The following is a 27,999-nucleotide window of genomic DNA, read 5'->3' on the forward strand; positions in this document are numbered from 1 at the left end:
AGGGGGGGCGGGAGCGCCCAGGAAAATCCGGGCGCCCGCGGGGGTGCCGGCCGCTCCTCCCGCCGCCCCGCGTCCCGGCCCGGCCGCGCCAACCCCCACGGCGGCCCGCAAGGGGGCGGGGGGAGGCGGGGCGGAGGAGGAGCCGCGGGCGCGGCGCCGCGCTGTCCCCGGCCGCCGCCCGCCCCACTCCGCACCGCATGTAAACAGTCCCAGCCGGCCCAGCCCGGCCCCGGAGGAGCCCGCGCAGGCCGAGCCGAGCGCCGCGCTGCCCGCCCGGGAGGAGGGCGCCTAGGAGCGGGAGGGCGGGCGGCGGCGGGAGGCGGGCGCGGGGCCGCGATGGATTTCCAGCAGCTGGCCGACGTTGCGGAGAAATGGTGCTCCAACACGCCCTTCGAGCTCATCGCCACCGAGGAGACCGAACGCAGGATGGATTTCTACGCCGACCCCGGCGTCTCCTTCTATGTGCTGTGTCCGGACAACGGCTGCGGCGACAATTTTGTGAGTGCCTGGAGGAGGGACCGCCGGAGCCGGCGGGAGTGTGGACGCGGCGGTGCGTCCCTGCGCCCGAGCTCCCGCGCGGTGGGCGGCGGTGGGCGCAGAGTGGGGGGCCGTAACCCGCGCCCCGCGCCCCGCGTGCTCCGCCGGGGAAGCCCCGGGCCGGGCGGTGCGGGCTCCGCTGCCCGGGTGGGGCCCGGTGGGCGGCGGGCAAGGCGCCCGGAGGATCCGGGGAGCCGGGTCGGGGCGGGAGGTGTGGCGTCCCCCTAAAGGCCACTCCTCTCCCCGCTGCTGCGGGCGCCGTTTCGGGAACCCGACCTCGCGGCCCGTGCGCGGTGCCTGGCATGGAGCATCCCTGGGGTGTGGGTGTCACCCGCGTCGGACCAGCCGGGTCTGGGGCGCACGGACCCTCCGGCAGGAGCCCAGGTCCGGAGCTTCCCACATCCAGGCGTCCCGTCCGGGATAGGAATCCCGCTCCCCTCCGGTGCCCAGCCTCGGCTCCTCGCATTGCCCCTCCCGGGAGAACCCCACTCCCCGCCCTCGCGGGTTAGTCCTTGCACTGCCTGTTTGGACACAAAGCTCTGTCCATACTAGCGATGCCCGATCTCCTGGACCTTCTTTGCGGAATTACACCCCGGATCTTAATACGCACGCGCGCCTGCGCATACACCCCAACACACACACACACATGCTCACACCCTCACCCTCACACGCGCACACTCACGCGCACACGCGGCACGCCTCTCCCCCTGCCCCCGCGCTGCCCTCGCTGCCTCTCTGAGCTGCCCGAGAGGTGTGTGTGGCCCGGGCGGGTTCTCTCCAGCCGAGGCGGTGCCCTGGCCCTGCTGAAGCCCGTTGGCTTTTCCAGATGACGGGGAATCCCCTCAGCCCCGGCTCAGAGGGACCGGGAACTGGGACTGCGGTGTCCAAACCTTCCACTTTGAATCCTGCACCCACCTGGGATCCCGACTCTGGCAGTTGAGGAAGGGGATGCGGAGGGCAGGGGAGTCGGGGTGGGAGGGGTGGAGTAGGGCGAGCACGGTGCTCATGAAGTGTTTCCAAGGTCGGGGAATAAATAATGATCCCCAAATGTAAGATGGAGGCGGCCGTGGGCGCGGGTGACCGTGTGGTCGCGGGCCTTGTGGGCGGAGGTGGGGTGGTGCGGGGCGCGGCCTGGTGCACGCTCCTCAGGTGGGGGAGACAAAGCTGGGCCGTGGTCCTGCCGCCGAGCGCCCTGACCACCTACGGGAAGTTCGCGAAGGAGTTAGGGAGACTGCAAGACCGCCTTTCTTGGTCCTGGAGAGGTGAAGGCTTATGTATGCCTGGCCGATAAAGCATTCCCTCCGCCCACACGCACCCCCTGAGGAGGGCAGGGATCCACCTGGGCATTCCACAAGTGGCACTCCAGAAGAGGGATGGCCTTGTGTGACAGCCAGATTTGAGTTCTGGCTCTGTGACTGTGCTCAAATACCCACCCTGAGCTCAGTTTCCACATCCAAAAAAATAGGTATAATAATGCCAGCACCCAGGCGTTCATATAGGTAACGCACCGAATAGTCCCTAACACACAGCAAGAGCCCCACAAATTTGGGGTTAGAGACCTGGGGTTTCCCAGAATTTAGAGCTTGTCTCATTTTTTAAAGAGCCTTGGTTTTCCCACCTGTAAAATGGGGCTAATCAGAATACCTCCAGAAGAGCCAACTGAACAATAATATTAATGCCTGTAAGCCCATCTTAACTGTAGGTAAAGTAAGTAAATAAGTGTTCTTTTTGGAAGGAGTGGGAGATCATTAAAAAGGGATTCACTCCATTGCAAAAGTGTGAGAAAGCCCCCAGGATACAGTGGAAAGGGCACCAGAATCCAGCTGACTGTAAAATGTTAGGGTTTGGCTAGGGTCCCTTCCAGCTCTGGGCTTCCTTCATCTGCCAGCGCCCTTTCTCCCTCCTGACCGTGTGAAACAGGGCAAGAATGGCTCATGGTTCTGGATTTCACTGGGGAGAAGCCCACACAGCCTTCCTGCTGGGACCGCCCAGGCCATACCCAAAGAAATGACTCCAAAGACAGTAAGTGGGCCAGGAAGACAAAAGGCTGTTCTCTTGCCATGAATATGTGTATCCAACCATCGTTCAGAAGTAAGAAGTATTATATTATTTGTATCAGGCCTTTCTCTTGAGGCCACCCAGATTTTAAATATTTTCCCATCTGCATGAGAAAAATGCTTGAAAGTGTCATGTAAACTGACAATTTAAATAGAATAGATAGAAAGATAGAGGATGGGGGTGGGCAGATGATTCCTTGGGTAGAATGGAACTTTCTCCAAGTTCTGGAGGCTCTAATGGACAAGATGCCAACCTCGGGAGTTTTCCTAGCCGGACCTCTTGAATCTGTCCCAGGCCAGGTTTGTCAAGCTACTGTTTGCCTCTAATAAGTGTCCTGCCTTAGTTCTTTTCTTTTTCCCTGGAAAATGTATTAAGCATTAGACAAAAGTGTGAGATCAATGGAATTTCTATTAGTTGAAGGACTTAGCAATAAGAATGTCTACATGAGCATTTCTCAATTTACAAAAGTATTTCCACATCATTCATTCATTCATTCAACAAACATTTATTGAGGGTTTACTTTGTGCCAGGCCAGTGCTATCTAGAATACAAATAGGGTCTCTGCCTTCATGTTCCTGGGGCAATTTTTACTTGTCTAGGAAGCAGTGTGGTGTGGTGGTTAAGCACACAGGCTGTAGATCAGACTACTTGGGTTTGCACCTCAGCTCCCCGTATTTGTGTGCCTTGGGAAAGTTATTTAACCCCTCTATGCCATACTTTTTTTTTCTTTTTCTTTTTTTGAGACAGTCTTGCTCTGTCGCCCAGGCTGGAGTGTAGTGGCGTAATCTTGGCTCACTGCACCCTCTGCCTCCCGGGTTCAAGTGATTCTTGTGCGTCAGCCTCTCCAGTAGCTGGGATTAAAGGCGTGCACCCCACGCCCAGCTAATTTTTCTATTTTTCGTAGAGACAGGGTTTTGTTACGTTACTTAGGCTGGTCTCGAACTCCTGGGCTCAAGTGATCCTCCCACCTTGGCCTCCCAAAGTGCTGGGATGATAGGCGTGAGCCACTGCACCTGGCCTCTATGCCATAGTTTCTACATCTGTAAAATCGGGATGATAATATTAGTACCTCCTGAGCAGAGTTGTTTGAGAAAGGTATCTAAAGTAGGGGCAGCTTAGATAGTCTAAGCCACTGTCATTTTTCATCGTGTCTCCTAATTTGTCTCCTTGCTTATAACCTCCACCTCACTCTTACTGTAGTACTGAAGTGGAGGTACTAAATAGATCCAAAATGACTGCTTGGGGAGACTGACTCTAAGCCACTGTCTACCCAGCAGTCATTTTGGATCTATTTAAAATATAAGCCAGATCATGTCACCACTATCCCCCACCTCAGCTGAATTGACTTCCCATCTTTTATAATAAAACCTAAGCCCTTACCCTGGCCCCAAGCCCCCACATGATCTACCTTCCTGCCACACAGACCCTGCTGGTCCTCAGATGTGCCAAGCGCATTCCTGCCTCAAGGCCTTGGCACTTGCGTTCTGTCTGCCTAGAACCCTCTTGCCCCAGATCTTTCCACGGCTGGCTCCTCGATGCTCCTGAGGCCCAAGAGAAGCCTTCCTGACCACATGTTCTTAGATCTCACCCTCTTTTATTCTTCCCATAGCACTCGTTAGACTTGGCATTCTCTTTTTGGTTTTCTGCCACTGCCACTAGACTCTAAGCTTCATGAGAGCAGAGGCCTTGTCTGTGTTATCACTGTGTTCTGGCATTTGGAGCAGCATCCATACATGATGGGTGCTCAGTACATATCTATAAGGATGAATAAATTATAGTCTAGTGTAAAAGACATGTCAAATGTCAAGAATTCAGTTTCAAAGAATAATAATAATAGCCATCACTTATGTTCAGTTTACTATGTAGCAGACGCTGCTCTCGGCACTTTACATATGCCAACTCATTTAACTTTAGTACTCTCACATAATTATATAATCTCTATAATTATCTCTGTTTTACAGAGGAAGAAACTGAGGCATGGCAAACTTTACTAACTTTTCCACAGTTAATAAGTGGTAGAGCAACTTCAACTATAGCCCTGTATTTAATGCATGGCATCACAGGAGTGACAACATGGGACCCAATCTAGACTGGGTTCAGGGAGTGCTTCTTATTGGGCCTCACAGAAATTCATTGAGGTAGATATTATTATTCCCACTTTATAGGCAAAGAAACTGAGGCTCAGGGAGTTTAAGAGATTCATCCAGGACTGTACCACTAAGAAGTGACAGAGCAAGGACTTGAGACCAGAGGCCTGTCCTCTCCACCATGCAGAACAGCCCACAGGTGGGGTCAGGCCAGTAGTTCCAGGGGCCCATGTTTAGTAAACAGGACGCCTGTTTATTTTTCCTCCATTTTGGGTCCCTTGCACACTCTTTCTCTATCTCGCTCCACAGGCCATCCCATCCATGCCGACCCTTTCCAAACTGTCCCTCTACCTGGGACCCCTCTCTGTGGGCCCCATGATCAGGGCCTGGGGTGAAACAAAGCTGCTAGTGCCCTGTGTGTGGAGGAAATTCAAGGGCATGGCCACCCTGCCTGGCTCTACAGGTTTGATAAGGGAGGGCTCCTGGCCCTGGTCAGAGGGGTCCAAGGAGTCCTTTCTGCCAACTTGGAAGGTCCTTCGGGGCTTGGTAGGCTTGGAATGGGGTGTCAGCAGCCACTTGGATGCCAGATAAACAGAGGGGCACTCCTAGGCATGGAGCACCAGCTGCGTTCCTTCCTTGTCTTAGGCCACGAGAAATGAGGTCTCTGAACAAAGAGCACTGCCCAGCCCATCTGGGGGCCTGGATCCTGATGATTGTGGGAGAGAGGGAGGGATTCATTTCCCAGATTGCCCAGCCTTTCCTGTCAGCCCAAAGACACGTTGGACTCTAAAATTTTGTATAGTTTAATCCCTCCTCAGCACAAAAACAAAGGTAGTAATCATGATATTATTAAAGAAAAAGGCTTTATTTATGGCAGGACTGTGATTTAATTTTACATGTGTTTGTAGAGGGGTGTGTGTGTGTGTGTGTGTGTATCCCCATTTGTGGTCTGAACACATCTTTATTATTAACTATGTGATCAAATAACAGCCTTCTTATTTGGATAAAGAAAATAGAACTTATTTAAATGAGATTGAGTCCCGCTTATGTGCTGGTATAGTGGAGAGAAAGTACTTTCTTGTTGATTTAAACTCTACCCTGTTTCCTCCTCTGTCAGATAGGGACAGTCATGCCTGTATTACATGATTAGTGTGGGGATGAAATGAAGAGCTGTGCATGTGATGTGCTCAGTAGACATAAGGCCATTCCACATTGGCTGTGCCTGTTCATATAGAGAGGTTATTTCTGGGAAAATGAGAGGTCCTTTGTATATTCTTTGAGTGGTAGTCATGAGGAGAGTAGTTACGTCAATACAAGCTCAAGTGGATGGGCATAATCGCTTATTGGGCCCCTGCTAAATGAGAGTCAGTCTACAGGTTGTCCCCTGAAATCTTTAGATTCCCCCTGTAAATATAATTATTTTCTGTGACTTACAAATGAATACACGAGGCTCCGGTTAAACATTGCGCACAGAGTGTAGTTGAAAGGGTGCACACTCCTCCGTTGACATTCTGGCTCTGCCCTTGTTCCCTGTGTGACCACAGGCAAGTTACTTAACCTCCCTGAGCCTCAATTTCCTCACTGGTAAAATGGGTCAGTGGCTGACACACAGATCGGGCTAGTCCTAGGTATGGCCAGCTGTGCTCTTCCCACCATGTGCAGTGGCTCACACCTGTAATCCCAGCACTTTGGGAGGCCGAGGCGGGCGGATCACCTGAGGTCAGGAGTTCGACACCAGCCTGGCCAGCCTGGTGAAACCCCGTCTCTACTAAAACCACAAAAATTAGCTGGGCGTGGTGGTGGGCGCCTGTAATCCCAGCTACTTGGGAGGCTAAGTCAGGAGAATCAATTGATCCCGGGAGGCAGAGGTTGCAGCGAGCCAAGATCGCACCACTGCATTCCAGCCTGGGCGACAGAGCAAGACTCCGTCTCAAAAAAAAAAAAAAAAAAAGAGAAAAAAAGAAATATGTTGGGAGGCGTGTGGTGGACTGTGGCTTTTATCTTTTTCTGCCATCTGTTTCCAGGACAAGAATCAGGGTTTTGTTTTGGTATTTTATTTTGGAAACAGGGTCTCACTCTTGCTCACGCTGGAGTACAATGGTGTGATCAGAGCTCACCGTAACCTCAAATTCCTGGGCTGAAGCAGCCTGCTGCTTCATCCTGGCAAGTAGCCAGGACTACAGGTGCGCACCACCACACCCAGCTATTTTTCTTATTTTTTGTGGAGACTGGAGTCTTGCTCTGTTGACCAGGTGGTCTTGAACTCCTGGTCTCAAGCAGCTCTTCCGCCTTGGCCTCCCACAATGTTGGAATTACAGGTGTGAGCCACCAGGCCTGGCCAGGGATCCATTTTGGATTAAGACACACCAATTCAAAATGGACTCCCTCGGTACCGAGTGGCAGAAAACCCCCACTTCAGTACTCCAGTAAGAGTGAGTCCCAGAGCAAGGGCCCCAGAGGGAGGAGACACAGGAGTGTGTTCTTACCTCCCCTGCCACCCCCACCCTGCTTAAGCACCAGGAAGTCCAGCTGCATACCCACCAGGATTTAGAATAGTAGGGGTGCACACATTGTGCTCCCCCAAAAATGTCTGTAGGGTTGGACTACTTTAATGACTGGAGACCACTTTTTGATAAACTGGATATTCCGATCTACATTGTACAAAACAGGAAGGTGCTCATTTTCCTATTTGCAGGTGACATAGTTATATTCTCTTAAGCTGGGCAAGCTTTTATGATAAACTCTGGCCTGACTTCACAGGAAGAAGGGTCGCAGATGGCCTATACTCAAATCAAAGTGCTTATCGGATTTTCTGTAGGAAAGAGTAGACCACTCAGGCCAGGTTCGATGACAGCCACTTCACTGCAGCTCAGGCCAACCTGAGATTTGGAGCTGGCTATAGTCAGTAATGGCAATTGCTGTAGTTCTCCCGGAAAGATATTTAAATGTCACACCACCCACAACCCCCTTCAAATATGTAGTTAGCCAAAGTTCTGCTGTGCCCATGGTTCTCAAAGTGTGGTCCCAGAACCAGCCACATGAGCGTCAGCTGGGAATTTGTTGGAAATACATATTCTCAGCTCACTGAATAGTTCATTAGCTAAATAAACTGATTACCAAGCAGAGGTGGATACATTGCAATTCTGTCATTGTGTTTGAGTGATACACTTTTCTCAGTTAACTTTGCAATTTAAACTCTGCCCCCCCAGCACGCAACTCTGATCCACACTGAAGCTTGAGAACCGCTTCCCTCTACTCCCTGAAGCCTTTCCAGGCATTTCTCCTTTAGTCCAAGGGAGTCCTGCAGGCTGTTGACGCTCTGACTACCGCCTTATTAGAGAGTCAGTACTTTCCGTACCCAGATTCATGTTTGCCAGGGCGTTGCATTGTTCAGCGCTAGAGGTTCTCTGATTCCTGCTGTAGTTTTTTTCCTGGTCAAAATGAGTATTTGGTTACACATGCTTAAAATATTTTCCAAGTTGAAGTTACTGTGGCCACGCCCAGTGGCACAGGACTCCGGGCCTTCAGTTGTGCATTTGTCTTTGTACAGGACTAAATCCTGTTCTCAGGAGCACCAGCCCTGCCCATAGATGGTCTCTCCACTCCGCTTGGTTTTGGAATGGGCCCCTGTATCTTCCTAAGAGAATAACCGCTCTGCCCCCAACCCCCTGCCTGTTAATTTTCCTGAAGAGCACGTCTGTTTTATCTGTGGACACTACCTCGTGAGATTGATAGTGCCTCTTTCTTTGCATGGGCTACTTAGAAAGCTTTGCTGGCAAATCTGTGTCCCGTCTGTAGTAAGTAGCCAGGCCCTCATACCTTGCTCTGTTTGTCCTGGTCTCACTCTTGGATCTTATTTCCCTCCCTTTGTCCTTTTTTTTTTTTTTTCCCAATGACAGACTTAATTTTTAGTTCATTTTGTCTTGTATCTCGTGATACCTTGCCGGCTGCCTTGATTCATTTTGAAAGGAAGGAATTTAAATGGAACACCTCCTTGTTATGAGATACAATGGATATGAGACAACTAGCATTTAGTAAATGATGTCTTTTAAGTGACCGTGTACACCCGAATCTGAGTCCAAACCCCATGCCACTCTATCATGTGGACAAGGATTCAGTTACAACATTTTTTAAACCCCAAAACCTAACAGAACTGGTAATAGGTGGAGATAGCCAAATGAAGGAAGTTCAGACAGAAGGCCCTTTCGTGGGTATTAAGTCTTCCTTCAACATATAGTCCTAAATTGCTCTAAAAGGAGAGTAATGGAAATTGTGGTGTGAACAATCTCTTCATGAGGTTAGAAATGCCTTAGAAACACTTAGCTAAATATACTGTCTGATTACCAAGCAGTGGTGGCTACACTGCAGTTTATGATTCTGTTATTGTTTGAGTGATATACTTTTCTAAGTTTACTTTGTAATTTAAAGCCCAGATGTACTTACTTTTTAACAAAGTAGGTTTACAAGCTTTTCATAGGTGCACCTGCTTCTGAATTAACCGCAACCTGAGTTGCCTCAGGCAGTGCTCTCAGTGAGTCACATTGGGTGTCTGATTTACTCATTGTGTGACCATAGCCTTGTGGCAGATGGTAAGCCCACCCCTTCCCCTCTGTCTCCCCCATCCTCCTGCAGATGCAAAGGGGGAAAGAAGGTACTTAAGTCCACCATTTACTGAATATTCACTGCATGTCAGCTAGGCACTGTGCCAGGTACTTACTCAGCTTTTAACTCTGTCATCTTCACAAGTCTACAGAGGACAGGCTTCAAGTTTTTGAAATGTGGTGGTAGATGTTAATCCCCTCTTTAACTTGGATAATAATTTGAAATAAGCTGGAACTTTTACACATTTGAGTATGAAAATGGATGCTGAGCAGAACTTACTAAGTAGAACTTTTGTTGTTCTTCCAGAATCTCCACTGATTAAGAATCAACTGGCATAATGGATATACAAGTACTTTGTACCATTACACTTTTGTACAATGGAAGAGACTATTACATAAATGACATTGTGGTGGTTTGACAGCTTTAAGGGTCTCTAATTAGTAGGGAAGAGCATTTGAGCTGTTCGCTAAAGCTAGAGAGCCCAGACGTTGTCTTTATTGGGTTGGGGAAGCCTCTAGAGAAGTCTGCTGGCATGAGAGCAACGTGTGTCGAAAATGGACCTTTGCAACTATGAAACACAGATAATTGGGGTATAAAGATGGTACATTGGCACCTAGTTATTCTCATTTGGATCTGAGCAGTATTTTAAGTCTGTAGGTCTAGTTCTCAGAAACCCTGCAATGAGAAGAAAGGAGAGGAAATGTGTTTATTGAGTGATAGGGATATGGGGCCAGTGTGTGCTTGGCATGGACCATGTCTCCACATAAGTCTTCTATCCTGCTATCTGGCCGCTGCATCTTGTTCTTATCTGCCAGATGTCTTTCTTTCTCCCAGACCTCAATACTTTTTTTTTTTTTTTTTTTTTTTTGCCAGTGTTTAGCCATCCTGGATCCGTCCCCACTAAAGAGTGATTCTTGGTACCTGACAGATACTCTGATGTTACCCTGGAAGCCCCGTGTCCCTGACTTGCTTAGATATGCAGGGCAGGGTATTCTGCATTAAGAATGCTCAAACCTATTTCTTGGCCTTGTTCCAGGTCTTTGAACATTTATGAGAGAGGCTTGCCTAGTCTTAAAGATGTGCTAAAATGGATATCCTCACATGGAAAAAAGCCTTACCCAGTCTTCAGAAAAAATAAAACCTAGACTGGGCATGGTGGCTCACGCCTGTAGTCCCAGCAATTTGGGAGGCTGAGGCAGGTGGATCGAGACCAGCCTGGGCAACATGGCGAAACCCTGTCTCTACCAAAAATACAAAGAATTAGTCAGGTGTGGTGGTGCGCACCTGTAGTTCCACCTACTTGGGTGGCCAAGATGGGAGGGTCACTTGAATCTGGCAGGAAGAGGTTGCAGTGAGTTAAGATCATGCCACTGCACTCCAGCCTGGGCAACAGAGCAAAACCCTGTCTGAAAAAGAAAAAGAAAAAGAAACAAAAAATCTAAAACCGATCTCCTCTTAGTATGTGTTAGATTGTGAAATGATGCTTCGGTATGATGTCCTTTTAAAGCATTTTAGGGAAGGGAAGTTTTCAGAAAGCCTTTGTTTTCCAGTGACATAGTGGTGACTTGGTGGGTTCTCTTAAGTTATTTGCATTTGGAAGTAAATTTACCACCACGCCTACTCACAGGCCGATCTGGGTAAAGAATGTCTTGTTCCAAGTTAATGCTTACAAACTATGCTTAATTAATCTTTCAGCCGTAGCTGAAAGCAAAGTTAAGGATTTTGAAGGCAAAGGCTCTGGTTTCTCCTTCCCCATGTCTGAAAACCGCCCTTAGCCTGCACAAGGTGAACAGTGGAAATCATTGGTGAGGAATGGCCACCCACTGCCCTCTTTACTGTGTAGGAGCAGATCTGATGATGAACAGAGCAGGTGAGGTATGGACCAAAAGCTCGGGGGCTTCTATAGATTAGACATTTTTTCTTCCCTTTCAACGCAAACAAATCAAGAACGCATGTATGAATTTTACTGTAGAATGGAGGCCTTCTTCAAATTGATGTTATTAAGAAAATCTGCTTGGCTTTTCTGAACTTCACACTGAGTGTAGTGACTGTGTGTCTTTGTTTTCTCCTTCCGTCGCCCGTGGGCACGCAGCACGTGTGGAGTGAGAGCGAGGACTGCCTGCCTTTCTTGCAGCTAGCACAGGATTACATCTCCTCCTGCGGCAAGAAGACGCTCCACGAAGTCCTGGAAAAAGTCTTCAAGTCTTTCAGACCTGTAGGTGCCTGCTTGGCTTCTCACCACAGCTTGTTTTCTATGGTGATTGTGTTTAGAATAACAGGGGCGGTGGGGAAGGTGGGCAAAACCTGGGATGACTAATTGTTTTTCTCTTGTCTGTCCTGTGGCTTAGAGATAGCAGCCAGTATAGGGAGGCCGAGGGCGGGAGGAGGGGGACGGGATGTGACACAGCTGTTTGCTGCAGGGATGATGGTTATTTCTAGCATCACTTGAGTTGAGAATCCCTGATGGGGGGGGAAGCAAACAGATCCTTTATGAGACAACTGAGTGTTCCTGTTCTCCTCTAGGAGACTTGGAACCATGGCACTTGCAAGCCCAATGGAGGTTCTTTTATAATAGTGGGGCGTATATTTGGGGATTGCTGGGAAGCTGTATACAGGTTATATTAATACCTCCACGTTTGTGGGTATGGAAAAGGATGAAACTGGATACTGGCTCTATTCTTTTCTATTTTTAAAAAGTCTCTGTTATGAGCTACTGTTGCTTTGTTTTCCCCTTTTGGGATTTAGGAATGTGTATTTCTGTGGCTAGCTGACAGTCTGTTTTCATTCTAGCTGATAAACCTTTAAAATGAATGCTCACTTCTATTTTGAAGATTACCTACTTCCCTTTATCTTCATTGGAAGATAAAGTCCCATCACCAGTGTCTCAGTGTTTCCCCTAAGTTCGATTCCCTGCCCACTGTAAATACTGCACATGTTCAGTGGTATTTGCTAGAATTTCTATTTATTTTTCAAATCTGTTCTAATGCTGTCTCCTTCTCTGCTGCGTTTTTCAAGCTTGTCTTCTGTTTCTTTGAACATAGTAAGCTTGGTTGCATAGTAGACTATGTCTGATGATATTTCATTTTGTAAGTCTGTTTGGTCTTCTTTTGTTTCTGCTAGTTCTCAAACCTGGTATCTTGTTTCTCTGTGTGTGGGATTATCTTTGTGTGCTAGTTATTGTATTTGAAAGTTTACATGTAGGAATAAAGTGAGGCCTGAGATGACAGTACCTTACTCCAGAGAGGATTTCTGTTTGCTTCCGTCAGGACTTGGGGGCCTATTAGTCTGAGACACCTTAGCACAGTTTAAGTCTTGTGGTTCTCTGATGGCTCCCGGGGGTGAGAAGGCAGGATGCGGGTCTGGCCTCCTGTGCCTCCTCCTCGTTCTGAGGGTGTGGGCCTCTGGGGGCCCAGCTTCAAGTGGGGATGGTGTATAGTCTGCTCCTTTGGAAAACTGTTAGAGTAGCCTGAGAAAGCAGTGAAGTTTCTAGCTGCTGCTTCCAGGTCAGCAAATGCCCCCAGGATAAAAGCAGCTTTTTATGTTTGGCTTACCCTCTCCTGGTTAATATTTTATATTTAAGAAGGTATTTTTCATATTTAATTCAGCTTTTTTTAGTCATTCTCAATGAAAGAGTTGGACCCAGTCACTTTGTGCACCATTGTAAGAAATGAGATTTCAGTGGCTTTTGTCACTCTGATTTGCTTAAGCAAATGACAGAAATCAAATAGAGTGACAAAAACCACTGAAATCCCTTTTTTGTTTGTTAATTTTCTAAGCCAGTTTGGCACATTCAAAATAGATACTTGACTTAAAAGTACCAGTCTGTCCCACATTCATTCATTCAATAAATATGTTTTGGGTACCCACTGGGTACATGGCACTGTGTACTGCATTGTTCCTGGCACTGGAACTAAAGCATGAGAAGCTTAGATCTCACAGAGCCTGTGCTCCAGTGGGGGGAGACAGGATAGACAAGGACACACGTAATGTCGTGAAATGATGCTAGTAATTAAGTGCCAAAGAGAAAGGAAAGAAATCAGGGAATGGGGTAAAAAGTGTCAGGGGTCCTGGAATTTTTGAGTAGGGAACCAGGGAAGGCTTTGCTGAGAAGGTAACATTTGAGGAAAAACTTAGACTACAGAGTGGGCCATGAGAAAATCTAGGGGAATAGCATTTTCAGTAGAGAGAGCAGCAGGTATGAAGGCCTCGGGGTTGGACAACACCTGTGTCCAGGGAGCAGGAGCGGCCAGTGTGGCTGAAGGAATTAGAGAGAGGTGAGCTGGAGGAATTCCAGGAGTCACAGAAGGACATGGGCTCTTACTCTGGAGTGATGGGGAGCCCCCCAAGGGGTTAGGCAGAAGAGGGATGTCACCTGACTTCACATCTTGAAAGCCTCCCTCTGATGACTGTGTTGAGAACAGGCTGTGTTAGGGGAGGGACAGAGAGGCCATTGAGGCCATTGCTGTCATCCAGGTGAGAGATAGTGGTGGCCTGGACTGGGACGGTCACGGCAGAGGCGGGGTGAGGGGTTGGATTCTGGAGATACCTTGAGAGTAGACCCAGCTGGACTTGCTGGTGGATCAGAAGTGGGATGTGGGAAAAAGGGAGAGAAGGCTGACCCTGAGTTTCTTGCCCAAGCAGTGAAGGGAATGGCCTAGTCATTTACTGAGATGGGGAAGGCTGCGGGGGCGGGTGGTGGGGAGTTTGGGGTTGGTAATGTCAGAGCTCAGTTTTGGACATGTCAGTGTTTTAAATGCCTGTTAGACATCGAAGAAGGGAGATCACATTAGGCAAAATTAAAAAGAAATGGATTCCTGTAAATTTTAACCAGAAGAATACCCGTTAGCAACTGAGGTTCGCTTTGCAGCAGGTTTCCTCACAGGGGCTCACTCATTGACCTGCCGCCAGCTGGTCTCTGTGGGTGTCGTCTGTGGTGGCAGGCAGCCTCCCCTCCCTGCAGAACTGGCTCACCTGGGAAGGGGAGCTCCAGCCGGGAGTCACTGTGCTGTTTTTCCTTACCGAGGCTCTGGTTGTATTTTGGCAACCAGGCTAGCCACGTTAAATGAGGAAACAAATGCGGTCCAAAAGAAATCCGGATGTGCAGCTGAAAGCAGTTGGATTGGTTGAGGAAGTTCTTTCAGGTGGCGCTGAGATGTGTCACGTGGGCCCACAGCTTTGGTGTGCTGTTGCTGGGCTTCCAGGTTTCCTTTCTGAAGTGGAACTTTACCTTGTGGGCAGGGATGTGGCTCCCCAGGTGAGGAGGCCTTGACGTGGCACAGCATGCCCTTTGGTGAGGAGGTTTGTGGGCTGGGCCGCCCTCTGGCAGGGCCGGTTTACCCCTGAGGGCAAGGCTGGTGGGAGGCACCTTCCCGGACTGGTAAAGATGAAGTGCTGAAGGCCTCAAGTTTCTCCCAGTCAGGATGCGCCCCAGACTGAATGAGAGGGAGCGTCACAAACCCGAATAAAGGACCACAGAGATCCCTGGAGAAACTTTGACACTCTCCACCTCCACCAAATAGAGCACTGCTTCCCAATGGCACCATTTATCTGTTTGTTTTACGTAAGGGAGGTTTGTTACAGATAAGACATAGGTAGGGGTTTTGTTGCTGTCATCACAGTTGAACGTATTTGTTGAAACGCTTACCCAAATGCTACAGGTTATCAAGTGGGTAAAACCAGCACATCATTTCCCTGAAAATACATGGGAATCTGATCAATCCATGCAGCTGCTTTTTTGTTTATCGTGGGCCAGCCCCAGGAGGAGTGTTTTTACCTTCATCTTAGAGCAGTCCCCTGCTCTGCCTACTGCACTCTACTGGTTCTTGGGAGAGCTATTTCTGTGAGCATGTTCTGCAGGGGGTTGCTTGTCATCTCTTAACCCAATTATGAGGGAACAGGTACTACAGTCATGAAGAACCCAAGGTCTGTTGTCAGGCTACCCGGATTTAAGTCTCAGTTCTACCACTTGCTGGCTGTGTGACCTTAGACAAGTTACTTAACCTCTCTGTTTCTCAGTTCATTTGTAAAATTAGAAAATTAATGATGATAGTTCCCTTAGGGTTGCAGTGAAGATTAATGGAGTTTTTGTTGGGTACTCAGTGCAGTGCGTTATCCACGGTAGGCACTAAGTCAATGTTAGTATGATGTGGATAGGATGAGGATACTAGACAAAATACTGTGGAGAAGTGAGCAGGTTACCGTTGGGGGGAACCTTAGATTATTGGTGGAGAGAGAAAACAATTTGCTAAGTGATTTCAACATGAAAAGGCATTAGAAGGGTAAGTCAAAAGTTTATCAACATTGGTTTTGGTAAAATTACAAGCATTCACTGAGTACCTGATCCACACGACTCACTGTGCTAGAGGCTAGGACTCCATAGAGGACCAGTGGATGCACCTGTCCTCCCAGAGGGGCACGTGGCCAAAGCGCTCAGGGTTATGGATGATTTTTTATTTTCTTCTTTTCCACATTTTCTAAGTTTTCTATGATCACATTATCAGAAAATATATTTTTTAATGAAACTGTGGCTTCCAGCGTATTCGAAGGGCTAGGAGTATCAGTGTGAGCAGGCTCATTGAGGAACAAAGCCAGGCAGTGGCTTCATGAGGAGGTGGGACTGAAGAATAGCCGGACCTAGACGTGCTCAGAGCAGGGGCAGGGCTGGCCCAGGAGGAAGTCCAGGAAGCGTCCATCTTGGCTGCCTCAGCTCCGTTTCCTTAGAAATGGCTCCATGTGGTGGAAGGTAGATCGGCTCTGCCCTGTTTTGCTCCCATGCTGTGTGGCCTCTAACAGGTACACTTGGCCTCAGTGTCCCCAGCTTTAAAATGGGGGCAATACTGATTTAGCTGTCTTGTGGATTCATGGGGAACTTTGAAGTCAGACTGAGAACCCAAAGGATTGTCAAAACCCAGACACTCTGCTAAATTTAGTCTCAGTTTCTGGCTCCTAACAGGTATTAGGAAATGTTTATTGGATGGGTAAATGACTGTGGATGCAGCCGGCCACCTTCCCTCGAGTGACCCACATTCTACTCCACTCCAGTGACCTCCTACTTGCTAATGTTGATTGCTCAGAGAGGTATGATTTTTACCTATTTTTTCTTGCTACTGGCATGTCGTATCCAAATGGCACATGTATGCACATGACAATGCCAGGCAGGCTGTTGTTGGCATCCACGAGCAGGTACTGCTACTTGTAGTGGTTTCAGAAACCCCCATCAATCACTTTGGTAAGTGTGAGTTGGATAATCGTCAGAACCTTGCATTTTTCTTAAGTGACCCTCCATTGACAGTTGCTGGTCATACACGATTGAGCTGGAGAATGAAACAATGGTTACGGACCTAAATAATGGTGATCATGCCGTTCAGTTTTCCCCACCATCTTTTCATGTTTTATATTTAGTGTCAACTGACAGACTTACTGCTGGGTAGAAAACAGTTTACAAGAGAAGAAATAGCCTACTATTTCCAATTTAGCAGTGAAACTAGACTTTATCTTTGCCCTTTCGAATTCTCTCAAAGTGTTATGGGCTTAACAAGGAACTATTGCTTCCTCGAGTGTGTTCTTCTCCTTACCAACGCTGTGGACATTAGGGTCCTGAGTCCCCTATTGCTCTTGCAGTTTTTTGTGCTGTTTGGTTGTTGTTGCTTCCATGGCCCGGCCTGGAGTTGGGTCCTGTGGTCCTTGTAGATTCTCACTCAGTTGGCCCAAGTCCTCTCCTGGGCTTGCTGTGTGACTCTGCGTTTCTTCTCTCAAGAAAGAGACATTTCTGCCAGAAAAATCCCCCTAATTCTGGTTCACTGGCATAAGCAAGATTGATATTTTCAGTTTGCCACAAGTGGCTGGAGAGCTGCGGCTTAAATCCCACAGGAAAATCCTGTGTCCCAGAAAAAGTCCAATTCTTGCCTCTACTCATGGAGTCTGGTCAAGAGCCTGGAAAAGAGAAAGAATCCACCTGTCAGAAGCTGCCTGGGTGGATCAGGGAAAGTCTGATGAGAAAAGATTATGCACACATGTGGGTTTCATAATAAACATGGAATATTGACAGTTTATCTTTTTTTTCTTTTTTCCTTTTTTTTTTTCTCATTCATGTTATGAACATTCAAACCATTCTCTTTTTTAGAGAGTATGATGGCCTCAAAAGGTAAGAGAGTGCCTCCTCCTGCCCATTGTGCTGCATCCATCTTGCCACCCTTTTTTCCTTAGGGTCAAGAAGACTGACTGACAGACCAGGACCCCACCAGGGGTTTCCCCATACCGCCAGCATCATAATCATGAAGATATATGGTGCCACATTTCCCAAATGCTTTAGAGTCCTACCACCCCTGGCTCTTGGACTAACAGTATTCCCATCACCTGGGAGTGTGTTAGAGATGCAGAATTGGGTCCCACTTGAGACCTGTTGAATCATCATCTGCGTTTGAGGTAGATTGCTGAGCACATTATCCACACCTACACATAGTGAAGGAGAAGAGAGACTGCCTAAGGGGAGTCCCTGGAAGGTACATACAAGGATCTCTGAAGCCACAGGGCACTTGCTCGATGCACAAAAGCCATGGTTGATTGGCCGTGCTCTCCAGGGTACAGACACCACCTCCCCTTCCTTTATGAAGACCTTCTAGCCCACTGTGCTGAGTGCCCCCTCCAGAGACAGTAGCTGCTAAATGCCACCTCAATATGGCCTCACATAGTTTACACTATTATCCAAAAGACCTGTAGTCGGCCCTACAGATAACAGATACTCTCTTGGGTCTGAGGAACTGAATTCTCCAGAGTTGGCAGCTCTGCCTTTCTGGTGCAACCTGTTTGGATAGATGGGCCCCAGCAGTGCTTATGTGATCACCGATAGCTCACAGGAAGCTTTGTGGACAGTGAGACACTGGAAATGCTAACTCTCTTGTCCAGAGTGAGCATAAACTATTTTCCCAGTCAGCTGAAAAAAAATTCACTGAAATAGGAATAAATGATTATAACTGTCAGGAATAATTTAAATATACCAGTCACTTTCGTTTTTTGGCCCACCTTTTTGGTATGAGAATGTGTGGTTGCAGTAAAAGCCAGGGCTCCAGAATTCTTCCCAGTCTGTGTGTACGCCTGTCTCTTCTTGACTGTTGAAAATTGGGATCCAGAAGTTAAATTTAGACTTGCCCACCATAGGTGGGATTAAGCATAGAGGTGAGGATGCTAGATTACTACATATCTGTAAGATATGTCCCTTAGAATTCCAGGCAGTCTATTTCTGGTGCTTTCTATCCATGCTTCCAAATTGTCCCTCCTCACAAATTTAGACATTAGCATTTCATATTGCATTTTTAAAAAAGATTTATTCCCCAGCGGAAAACATTGAAACCTCCAGCTAATAGGAACAGCATTAACAGCTGAATGGGAGTCTCCTGGGTGGCCTGGTGGGTAGGGGTGTGAAGTCTGCTGTCAGATCACCCAGGTTTGAATTGAATCCTGGCTCTGCCACTTACTGGGTGACTCTAGGCAAGTTACTCAACCTCTTCAGGTCTTATCTGTAAAAGGGGGACAATAAAAGTGTCCAACACAAGGTCATTATGAGGAGCAAAGGAGTTAATGTGTGTAATTCTGCTTAAGACAGTGCATTTGCTGTGCCAAACCCCCTTTTTATTTTATTTTATTTTATTTTTTTAGACGGAGTCTTGCTGTGTCACCCAGGCTGGAGTGCAATGGCACGATCTTGGCTCACTGCAACCTCTGTCTTCCTGGTTCAAGCGATTCTCTCACCTCTGCCTCCCAAGTAGCTGGGACTATAGGCACACGCCACCATGCCCAGCTAATTTTCATATTTTTAGTAGAGATGGTGTTTCACCATGTTGGCTAGGCTGGTCTCAAACTCCTGTCCTCAAGTGATCCGCCTGCCTCGGCCTCCCAAAGTGCTGGGATTACAGATGTGAGCCACCGTGCCTGGCCTAAACCCCCTTTAACCTCAGTAGGGAAGGCACCAGGTTCAAGAGGCCAAAGAAGAGACCCAGAGCCAGCAAACGAGACACGGGGTTTTACCGTACTGACATACAGGGGAGAGAGTCCAGCAGCAGGGGCTGGGCAGGAGAATCGCCTTACATGCAGTCCAGTGGCGGCAGGCTGGACAGAAGAACCACGTGGTCCCGTGGTGGTGGGCTGGGCAGGAAAACCAACCTCCTGCAATCAGTGTGCAGTGTATATAGGATTTTCACTCAACACCCTCCCGCTAATGACCTCCACCTGGCAACATTCATTTAACCCAGAACTCAGGGCCGATTTTAATCCCCTATAACGACCCATGTTCCCTGGGATAGGCCATAGGCTCACGTGTTTCTTATAGATAAGGAGTGACTCTCTTGGCCACTCCCAGTTTCCCTAGTTCCTTAGAGATAATATAGCTAGATTACATCACATCACATCACGTGTAGTTACATAAGGCTCCATAGTTTGCAGATCATGGCTGCCTTCAATCTCTCATGTCATCTCCATAGTTACTCTGTGAGATAGAGCAGGTATCATGGCGCTTTACAGAGAAGGACATTGAGGGTCAGCAAGGTGGTGACTTGGCAGAGGTCTCCAGCTAACTAGAGCTCTGGCCTCTGGACTCTAGTGCCAGTGTCTTTTTCCACACACCCTCTCAATAAATCTGTAGACCCTACACTAAGGTGCCTCCAAATTCCAGAAGGCCACAGAGAACTGCCTCTCCTCTCCCCTTTCCAGAAGGGCAGTGAGTGAGCAGCTCTTGAAAGAGCAGTCAGAAAACTTCCAGCCTGGGGACCTGTCAGTAGATGTGCTGGTTTCATCTGAGGTAAGGTAGGGAGCTGGAAAAAGGAACTGCAGAAGAGAGGTGGTCATGGCTATGTGCTTGGTTTCCTGGGTCTTTTTCAATAAGGTACCCTAAGCTGAAGAGAGGGAGGGTGTTGAGTGCTACCTATGGTTTGGGTCAGTATGAATCACCTAGGGGTGTTATGGAACAGAATCGCCCATGGTACATCTCTTTTGGATAAAGATGGCAAATATGCAGATGCACACCTCAGCTGCGCCCTTTTCATGCAGGACAGCCATTGCTAGTTGACCACAGTGTTTTCCACGGGGCCTCAGAATCCTGAAACTCCAGGCAGCCACTCCCTGTCAGGTCTGTTAAGTGAGAGGGAACCAACTGGTCATTTCTCTTTAGTGACATCCCTTCAATACAATGAACAATTATATATATTGTTTAGGTAATTTTGGAGTTCCTGGTGGTGGCGATAGTATTTATATTTTACCAGCTATTTAAATGTTACCACTTATTTGACACTTTTACCTTGCTATGTCATCGAGCAGCTCTCCAAATAAAAAATTGACCACCAAGTGTAGTCATCGACGTGCCTTACGACTAGTCATCTTTTCTCTCTTTAGAGGCAAACTTGGTTTTTTATTCCATTTACTAAAATCTGCAAGGGAGACAGGAGCCGGAAAAAGAGACTTTCTTCTCCCAAGCACACTCAAGATTGGAGCACCCTCTCCGGGGAGCTGAGAGCGCTCTTCCTGCCCTTCCCCTCTACATCCGCAGAGTCTCTGAGGCAGCTGTGGCATGCTCAGCTCTAAGGGGCGAGCGTGTGTCTGCAGTTGACTGTGTACGCCTTGGCAAGCCACAGGCAGAGTGTGACCAACAATGCCTAGCAGATGATTTTGTCCTGAATGTGTTCATAGGGTGCTGGGAGACCTGGGAGAGCTGCAGCTGGAGAACTTCAGAGTGAAGGCATTATTTTCATCAGGACTCTGCTTTCTCTTTCCCCATTTCAGCCGTGGAGGGAGTGAGAGAGGAAGGGGGTGGCAGGACACCAGGGAGGCAATGCAATTGAACAGAATGGTCAGTCTTCTTTTTACTGTCTTGATGCAGTTAGTGTTTAGATCATTAGGGCCACTCAGTGAAGGTGCTTGAAATTGATGGCCCTGGACACCCCTATGTAAGAAGTCCTTGGGCCACAAACAGACTGTAGATCTCATGAAGGCACCAGGAGACAGAAGCCTGGTTATCACAGGCAGGTCCGACAGCTAGGGTTGTGGCTTCTTGCCTGCACCAGGAGGTGGTGTTCATACTGATCAGGCCTAGCAAATGGCACTTGGTTTCTAACCAAAGACCAGCCAGTGCTTTAAAAAACGATGTTTATTTTGAACGTCCCACATAATTATACAGCAATTGGAAAATACAAAAAGATAAAAAGGAAAAAATTACCCATAATCTCACAATCTTAAAAAAAACCTTAAAATTGGGGTGTATTTTACTGAAGTCTTTTTTCTATGCATATGTGTATAAATTTTAAGAACTCCGGGTCAGGTGTGGTGGCTCATGCTTGTAATCCCAGCACTTTGGGAGGCCGAGGCAGGAGGATTGCTTGAGTCCAGGTGTTGGAGACCAGCTTGGGCAACATACTGAGACCCTGTCTCTATTAAAAATATATATATACATACACACATATATAAAGAAACTCTGGGTCAGGCATGGTGGCTCACGCCTGTAATCCCAGCACTTTGGGAAGCTGAGGCAGGCAGATCACAAGGTCAGAAGATCGAGACCACCCAGGCCAACATGGTGAAACCCTGTCTCTCCTAAAACTACAAAAATTAGCTGGGCATGGTGGTGTGCGTCTGTAGTCCCAGCTACTCAGGAGGTTGAGGCAGGAGAATTGCTTGAACCCGGGAATTAGAGGTTGCAGTTAGCCGAGATTGCGCCACTGCACTCCAACCTGGCAACAGAGCGAGACTCCCTCTCAAAAAAAAAAAACTCTGTCATAATAAAAGTGCAATTTTGTCATGCTTTTTTTACACTTATGTGCATCTTTTTAATGTCATCAAGTCATTCAAAAATGCCATTTTGAGTGGATATATAAGATTCCATTTCAATAACACCATAACCATTTTGCTGTTGAACATTTTAGTTGTCTCTAGATTTTTAGAAATGTGTTATAAATAATAGCACCAATAAATAATAGCACCGTGTGTTTTTAGGACAGAAAATACAGAATCAGTTTTTGACATCTTGGTGGGACAGTGAGCACAGTTCATTTCATACGACTGCTGACATCCCAGATGTGTGTGTGGGCACATAGCTAGCTCTCTGTGCATATGTGGTGCCACATTTTGATACTTAAAAATAGAGACTCTCCAGGCTCCCCAGTAAAACCTAGCCCTTTGGGCACTAATCCATTGAAAGATTGACATTTCCGTCTAACAAGTTTATGAAAATCATTGTAGGGGTGGTTGACGGGGAAGTCTGCAGCTGCTGGGTTAAGTACTCTTTAATGTGGATCCGATGCCTTTGGTTGTCTTCCTGCCTGTGGGCCATTTGGCGCTCACAGCTGCTTTTCTCTTGTTCTCTCCCTGTAGTTACTGGGGCTTCCGGATGCAGATGACGATGCGTTTGAAGAGTACAGTGCTGACGTGGAAGAAGAGGAGCCAGAGGCGGACCACCCCCAGATGGGGGTCAGCCAGCAGTAAATCTGGGGGCTCCCCTGAGAAGGAGAGTGAGCCCCACAGTAACCTAGGTGGGGTCACTGCCCCTCCTGGGTTAGCATTTTGCATTAGCACTTCGAAATAGGACATCTGGCTCCCAGCATCCAAATTAAAATGAAATACCTTTTTAACGACCACAAAATATCTGTGATGAGCTTTGCTCAGAAGTGACCTGAATTTCACTCCCGCTTCAGTGGGGTTTCTATGGAGTTGTCTTGGTAGCCTTTGCCATTTTGAATTTAGAGTCCATTTTGTGGCTGACTATTCTCTTAAGTTTATGTTGGAGAATTAACATTCGCTGACTCGAATGTAGAGAACTCTGAATGTATTAAGGATAGGTTTTGAGTCCTCACAGGTGACCTTACTGAGGGAAAGCATGGCAGAGAAGAAATGCAGTCTGCACTTTTTATGTACTTTTTAAGTGTCCGTAAGTGAAAGGTTTTGCTTATAAAGCATGAATTTTAATATCTAGTCATTAAACTGCACAAGTGCAAATACAAGGGCAGGAAAGGATAATCACTTAGCTTTGGACTAAGAGGGTAAGAGAGGCCCAGAAGCCTTTAAGTGTTTTGCCATTACTGAGTTACCTGGGTATGTAGCGACTGGTTCGTGGTTAGGTGTAAATGTTACTTGCTTGTTCGACTGTTTCAAAACATGCTAATTCCAAAGCCACTTTTGAAGTCTATAGTGGAAAATATAGATGGGGTGAAAGATATAATGTATTGATTTTTAAAGCTGTTTATAAGCCGTCCCACGTATAAAATGAAACATTTTACCTTCTCTCTTTCTAATGAGATGGCCGCTTGTTAAATCATGAAAACATCCAGAATTCAAGTGCCGCTTAAACTTTGAAGCCATAGATAAATTTGTTAGAAAAGTAAACCAGGATTAAAAGTTTTTAAAAATATGGTAGAATCCTTCTTTACTTTTTAAGTCTTTTATTTAAAAAAAAAAAGTCAAAAAAAGGATTCCATTGTGTAATTTATTTAAAAATTTAATCACATGTTTCGAGGGACTTAATTGTGGTGTATTTGTAAAGGGACACGAAGGTAGGAATCTTTTAATCGTGGGTTAGCTTGGTTAACAGGGAACGTTTTAATAATCAAGATACTCAGACAACTCACAGAAACAACTTCTGTAATAACTGGAAATACTGCTGTTATCGTTTAGCCAACAATTACTTACTGGGGACATCCTTTGTAATGCTAACATGGAATTATTCCTGGACCCTTCTGCATCCCTGGTTTTAGTTAACCTAGGATGCGGAATGCCTCCTTTACAACACTAGATTAAACCTAGCATCTGGGGTGGGTACGTTTAAACAGTCACACATGTGCCTGTTAGGTTGTGAAAGTTTTGAATTAAAAACAAGCAGTAGCAGCAGAGGCCACAGAACTTATGGGAGTCTTGTATATCTTCCAGGCATGTCGGTGTAAACCTGATTGTCTCGACATTTTCTGTTTAATTGATTGGTGCTGTGAGGAGTTCGGCTGCTCGTGGTAAAACAGCGTACTCCAGTTTTAAGTCATCGGGTAAAATAATAGGACAGTGATTTCCATCTGTGCTTCAGTACCCACTTTGTGTTCTTTTCTTGAAAAGTCATACTAAAGGTTAATTTCAAGTAAAATGAATTTCCTTCCAAGTAGCCTATTAGTAAAACACAACTTAGTGTTTCATCCATTGGGGTGAGCATATACTGCCCTTTGCAGCCCTGCCTGTGTTCTGATTGGCTCCATTCATGAGCAAAGGTGATTGTGAGCTGTATATTACACAGGTGTCGCCCAGGTTTCGTAACCTCCACTTTAATGCAGTAAGCCGCAAGAATGACTTCTGCAAGTGAAATGAGGAAGCTTCACTAGCTTGCTCCATTGGAAGGTAAACTGAAATTTTATACGTTGAAGCTTAAAATCTAAATTTATGTATGTTTGGAAATGGAATGGACATTAACATAAAATGTATTTTATCAAAAAAGTGTTTAGACTTTGACCAAATACATGTTGGTATTATCATGTTAATGTTCTCTGTTTATAAAAATTGAGTGGAGATAGATAGACTCGGCCATTCTGTGGGCTGATGAGAATTCTGGGCTTTGTTTTGCACCAGGGGTAGGAAACAGAGAACATGTCTGTATGTTACTTAATCTCCATAGCAAAATCCCAAACAGCATTAGCAGATCGAATTGTTTCTTCTAAGACTTCCTTTTTCTGAATGTGTGCACATCCCTTCTCGTGCTCACACACTTGCCCACACACTCACTTCTTCCTGCGCTGTGGCTGCTCTAAGCAGGGCTGTGCATGGTGCAAAGCTGCAGTCAGTGAGCCTGGCAGCCTGTGGTTTCTGTTATGGAAATGGTTCCATGGTGAAACACATCCCTGACCCTTCACAGACTTACACATTTACTCACCAGGAGGTGGCAGCGGTGTGGGAGGAGGAGTGTTGACCTTGGACGCAGGAGAGACACCTGGGTTCTAGTTCAAGTCGGCCAAGGACTGTGTGACCTTGACAAGTCTAACTGGTCTGTGAACAAGGGGCATTTGCCCTTCCAGCTGTAAACACTGCCCTTCTGTGCCTGCCTTATGTGTGTGTGTGAGTAAGGAGCAACAGTCAAGGAAACTTTTAGGGATTCGAGAAGAAAATACATGTGGGATCTTGCCAAGGTGCTGCCTTTAGGATGCTGACCCCTGCACTACCTTAGAACATGTTGATCTGTGAGTGCCCAAGCCCCTGAGGGCTCGATCTCATGGGGCAGATGAAATTCTCTTCCTTAGAGGAAAGGGAAAGGTGAGGCCCCAGAGGACTTATCTCAGCTGTACATGCTCTGCCTGTGGAGACATGGCTTTTCTTTGTGCTGTGGCAGACTGGGGCTTTGGAAGTGGTGTATGTTTAACTTACCTGAGAGTGAGAGATGTGTAGGAAGAATAGCTGGAAGAAAGTGAAAGATGAGTGCCAGTACTTTTGGCCTGTTATCCAGTAGAGAGAAAGTGACAGTGAAAGTAACGTGAGAGAGAAAGAGTGTGTGTGTATATGTGAGAGAGAGAAAGAAAGAGAAAGGAATGCTTGATTGCTTGTTGTTCACTGGGCCAGCTCTGAAATCCAAAATCATGCCTTGATAACATTACAAAACCGTGATCCTGGGTTTGAGTGAATCCTAGAGACATTGTTCTTATGGCCGCCTGGTTTCCGCAGCCTGATCACCATATCGAGCAGACGTCAAGGAATCAGAGTGAAGTACGGAGCCAGGGAGGGAGGTGAGGCCCCGTGTAGTGCCTGTCACCACTGTGGATTCACCTGCACTCAGGTGTCCACTCCTGTCTCCCAGGCCCAAAGCAGCACATGGTGCAATGGAAAAGTCTCTTATGTAGGGATCCTCCTTGTGTCCTGGTGCCAGAATTAGATTTCCAGTGTACTTCAACGAAAACCTCTCTCCTTTATAGTTGCTGTCATCTTTCATGTATAAACAGAAACCGTCTCTAGCACAATATATTTCTGAATATTGTTTCTGTTTCATAAGAGCACAATGTACATGGACCTAGGGGAGCTGTGGTCCCAAGTGTCATTGGAATTTATATTTTAGGAATAGGCTTTGCATGTTAAAATTCACAAGTTGGGAAACTGGTATGAACAGATCTGATTTCTTACAGAGAGGCATGAAGGAATAGGCAGGACTTAACTTGGGGTGGGAGGAGATGAATAAGGGAGAATGGGAGAGTTGGGGTCTGACAGTTACCACCTGAGCCCCAGGAAAACTGTTTTCATTTTCACGGCTGTCTCACTGGGGGCCTGCTTTCCTCAAAGGAACTGACTGTATGTTGAGAGGCAATGCCTTGTGTTGGCATGGCTTTGCCACTTTAAAAGTGCCCCCCAGCCAAGGAGACCAACAGGAACCCTGCTCATCTGGTAGGGCTCTTTCCTTCAGTAAAACCAGCTGCCAGCCTGAGAAGCCTGTCTTTCCCAAATGCAGGCAGATCTGAGAGGGGCTCCAGGCACCCGGCAGGTAAATCACAAAGCAAACTTGGGTGTCCTTGGCAGCGGGGAGGAAGCAGGAGTGCCCCCTCAGGCCAGAGGGCAGGGCCAACCTCCTCACTGTGCTTCAAGGTTGTAGAAAGAGCACAATTAATGCTTAAGCGATCACAGACCCCTCTCCCCTGCAGTGGGTGTTAGCTCCAAAGAGATGCCATTGCTGATCACCCAGTCTTCGGAGAAGCCTAAAATTTCTTTGAATTAAAAACTGATCCTTTTTCATAAAGACCCAGTCACTTCTCCCAGTTTAGTGATAACAGGTATGACACAAGAAGCTGAAGTCTTTTAGATTTTATAGAGAGTAATTCTGAAACCTGCCAGAATGCTGGTAGCCTGTGGTGTCCATGGCAATGGGTGTCCATGGTAAAATATCTATAGCTTCTGCTCACTGGGCAAATATAAAAGACAACATATTATTTAACATAATATGTTGTCTTTTATATTTTTATTTAAATCTGGATTACGAAAATATAGTACCCATGAGCATTTCATGTTAGAAACCCCATTTAAAGCACTATAAGGCTGAATAGGCACAAGCGATTAAAAGTAGATGCCAGGCCACATAAAAATAAATGTTTTAATTTACTTAGAGCTGTATTCAAGTTGTTTGATACCAGACAGAAAGCTGACAGTCTGTTCTTTGTAAACTGCCTTTCCCTGTTTTTCTGTTTTGTTTTGTTTCTCAAGTTTCATTTTTTACTAAGCCCCTTCTGACACCTAGGCAGATAAAGATAAGAGTAGTGCGCAGTACAAATGTCAGCTCTGAAGAGGAGGAAGTAAATCTTCAATGCTAGGGCAGATCTTCACTATCCGTGATCCAGTCTTAATTTGAGCATGAGAGCAAAATTTAGTCATCTACACAAGAAGCAAAAGCAAGGAATAGTTGTTGGGTTTTTGTTTTTTGGTTGTTGTTTTTTTTTTTTTTTAGGCAAGAAGTGTTGCCGGTAGGGTATGTGTGCTTTCTTTGCCTTCCTATTTCCTTTCAAAGAAATCTCTTGTAAATTACAAAACTGTGAATTGGGTTGCCAAAAACTGTTGCCCTTCGTTAGATGCTTCAAACAGTGTAAATCCTATACTGCACCCTGTCCACCTCTGCTCCCTCCTCCCTCCCCTGAGAGTGAGGACCTCATCCGACCATGTAATTACCATTCGCTTGCTATTAAAGAGCCTTTCAAACTCTGGTGGTGTTTGCCTCTTTTTTTCTGCCTCCACAATG

General features: G+C 46.8%; 1 protein-coding gene across 2 annotated transcripts, besides 7 other annotated features; it reads left to right on the forward strand.

The window, feature by feature from the left end:
• Window positions 84–333: a silencer, noted in NCBI's record as "silent region_18054". NCBI's record gives its function as "represses an Ori minimal core promoter by ATAC-STARR-seq in GM12878 lymphoblastoid cells {active_cell/tissue: GM12878}" and the evidence as "EXISTENCE:reporter gene assay evidence [ECO:0000049][PMID:35858748]".
• Window positions 84–481: a biological region, named in NCBI's record as "ReSE screen-validated silencer GRCh37_chr7:30174520-30174897".
• Window positions 104–481: a silencer, noted in NCBI's record as "fragment chr7:30174520-30174897 (GRCh37/hg19 assembly coordinates)". NCBI's record gives its function as "represses an EF-1alpha promoter that drives an FKBP-Casp9 reporter gene in an ReSE screen in K562 erythroleukemia cells {active_cell/tissue: K562}" and the evidence as "EXISTENCE:reporter gene assay evidence [ECO:0000049][PMID:32094911]".
• On the forward strand, window positions 186–27,962 carry MTURN (maturin, neural progenitor differentiation regulator homolog). Of its 2 annotated transcripts, XM_005249652.4 has the most exons (4): window positions 186–498; window positions 11,377–11,499; window positions 22,638–22,795; window positions 24,186–27,962. In XM_005249652.4, exons 1-3 carry the CDS (start codon window positions 337–339, stop codon window positions 22,746–22,748), a joined length of 396 nt encoding a protein of 131 aa, XP_005249709.1. In that variant the 5' UTR covers window positions 186–336; the 3' UTR covers window positions 22,749–22,795; window positions 24,186–27,962. The 2 variants fall into 2 exon arrangements, with proteins under 2 accessions (XP_005249709.1, NP_690006.2); NM_152793.3 differs by having other exon boundaries at window positions 22,638–27,962.
• Window positions 674–813: a silencer, noted in NCBI's record as "silent region_18055". NCBI's record gives its function as "represses an Ori minimal core promoter by ATAC-STARR-seq in GM12878 lymphoblastoid cells {active_cell/tissue: GM12878}" and the evidence as "EXISTENCE:reporter gene assay evidence [ECO:0000049][PMID:35858748]".
• Window positions 1,134–1,313: a silencer, noted in NCBI's record as "silent region_18056". NCBI's record gives its function as "represses an Ori minimal core promoter by ATAC-STARR-seq in GM12878 lymphoblastoid cells {active_cell/tissue: GM12878}" and the evidence as "EXISTENCE:reporter gene assay evidence [ECO:0000049][PMID:35858748]".
• Window positions 14,489–14,988: an enhancer, noted in NCBI's record as "H3K4me1 hESC enhancer chr7:30188905-30189404 (GRCh37/hg19 assembly coordinates)". NCBI's record gives its function as "activates a minimal SCP1, AML or CMV promoter by ChIP-STARR-seq in naive H9 embryonic stem cells {active_cell/tissue: H9 hESC(naive)}" and the evidence as "EXISTENCE:reporter gene assay evidence [ECO:0000049][PMID:30033119]".
• Window positions 24,992–25,051: a silencer, noted in NCBI's record as "silent region_18057". NCBI's record gives its function as "represses an Ori minimal core promoter by ATAC-STARR-seq in GM12878 lymphoblastoid cells {active_cell/tissue: GM12878}" and the evidence as "EXISTENCE:reporter gene assay evidence [ECO:0000049][PMID:35858748]".
• Window positions 27,963–27,999: the final 37 nt, after the last annotated feature.

Source organism: Homo sapiens, chromosome 7, assembly GCF_000001405.40.
Source record: "Homo sapiens chromosome 7, GRCh38.p14 Primary Assembly".
Lineage (NCBI taxonomy): Eukaryota > Metazoa > Chordata > Mammalia > Primates > Hominidae > Homo > Homo sapiens.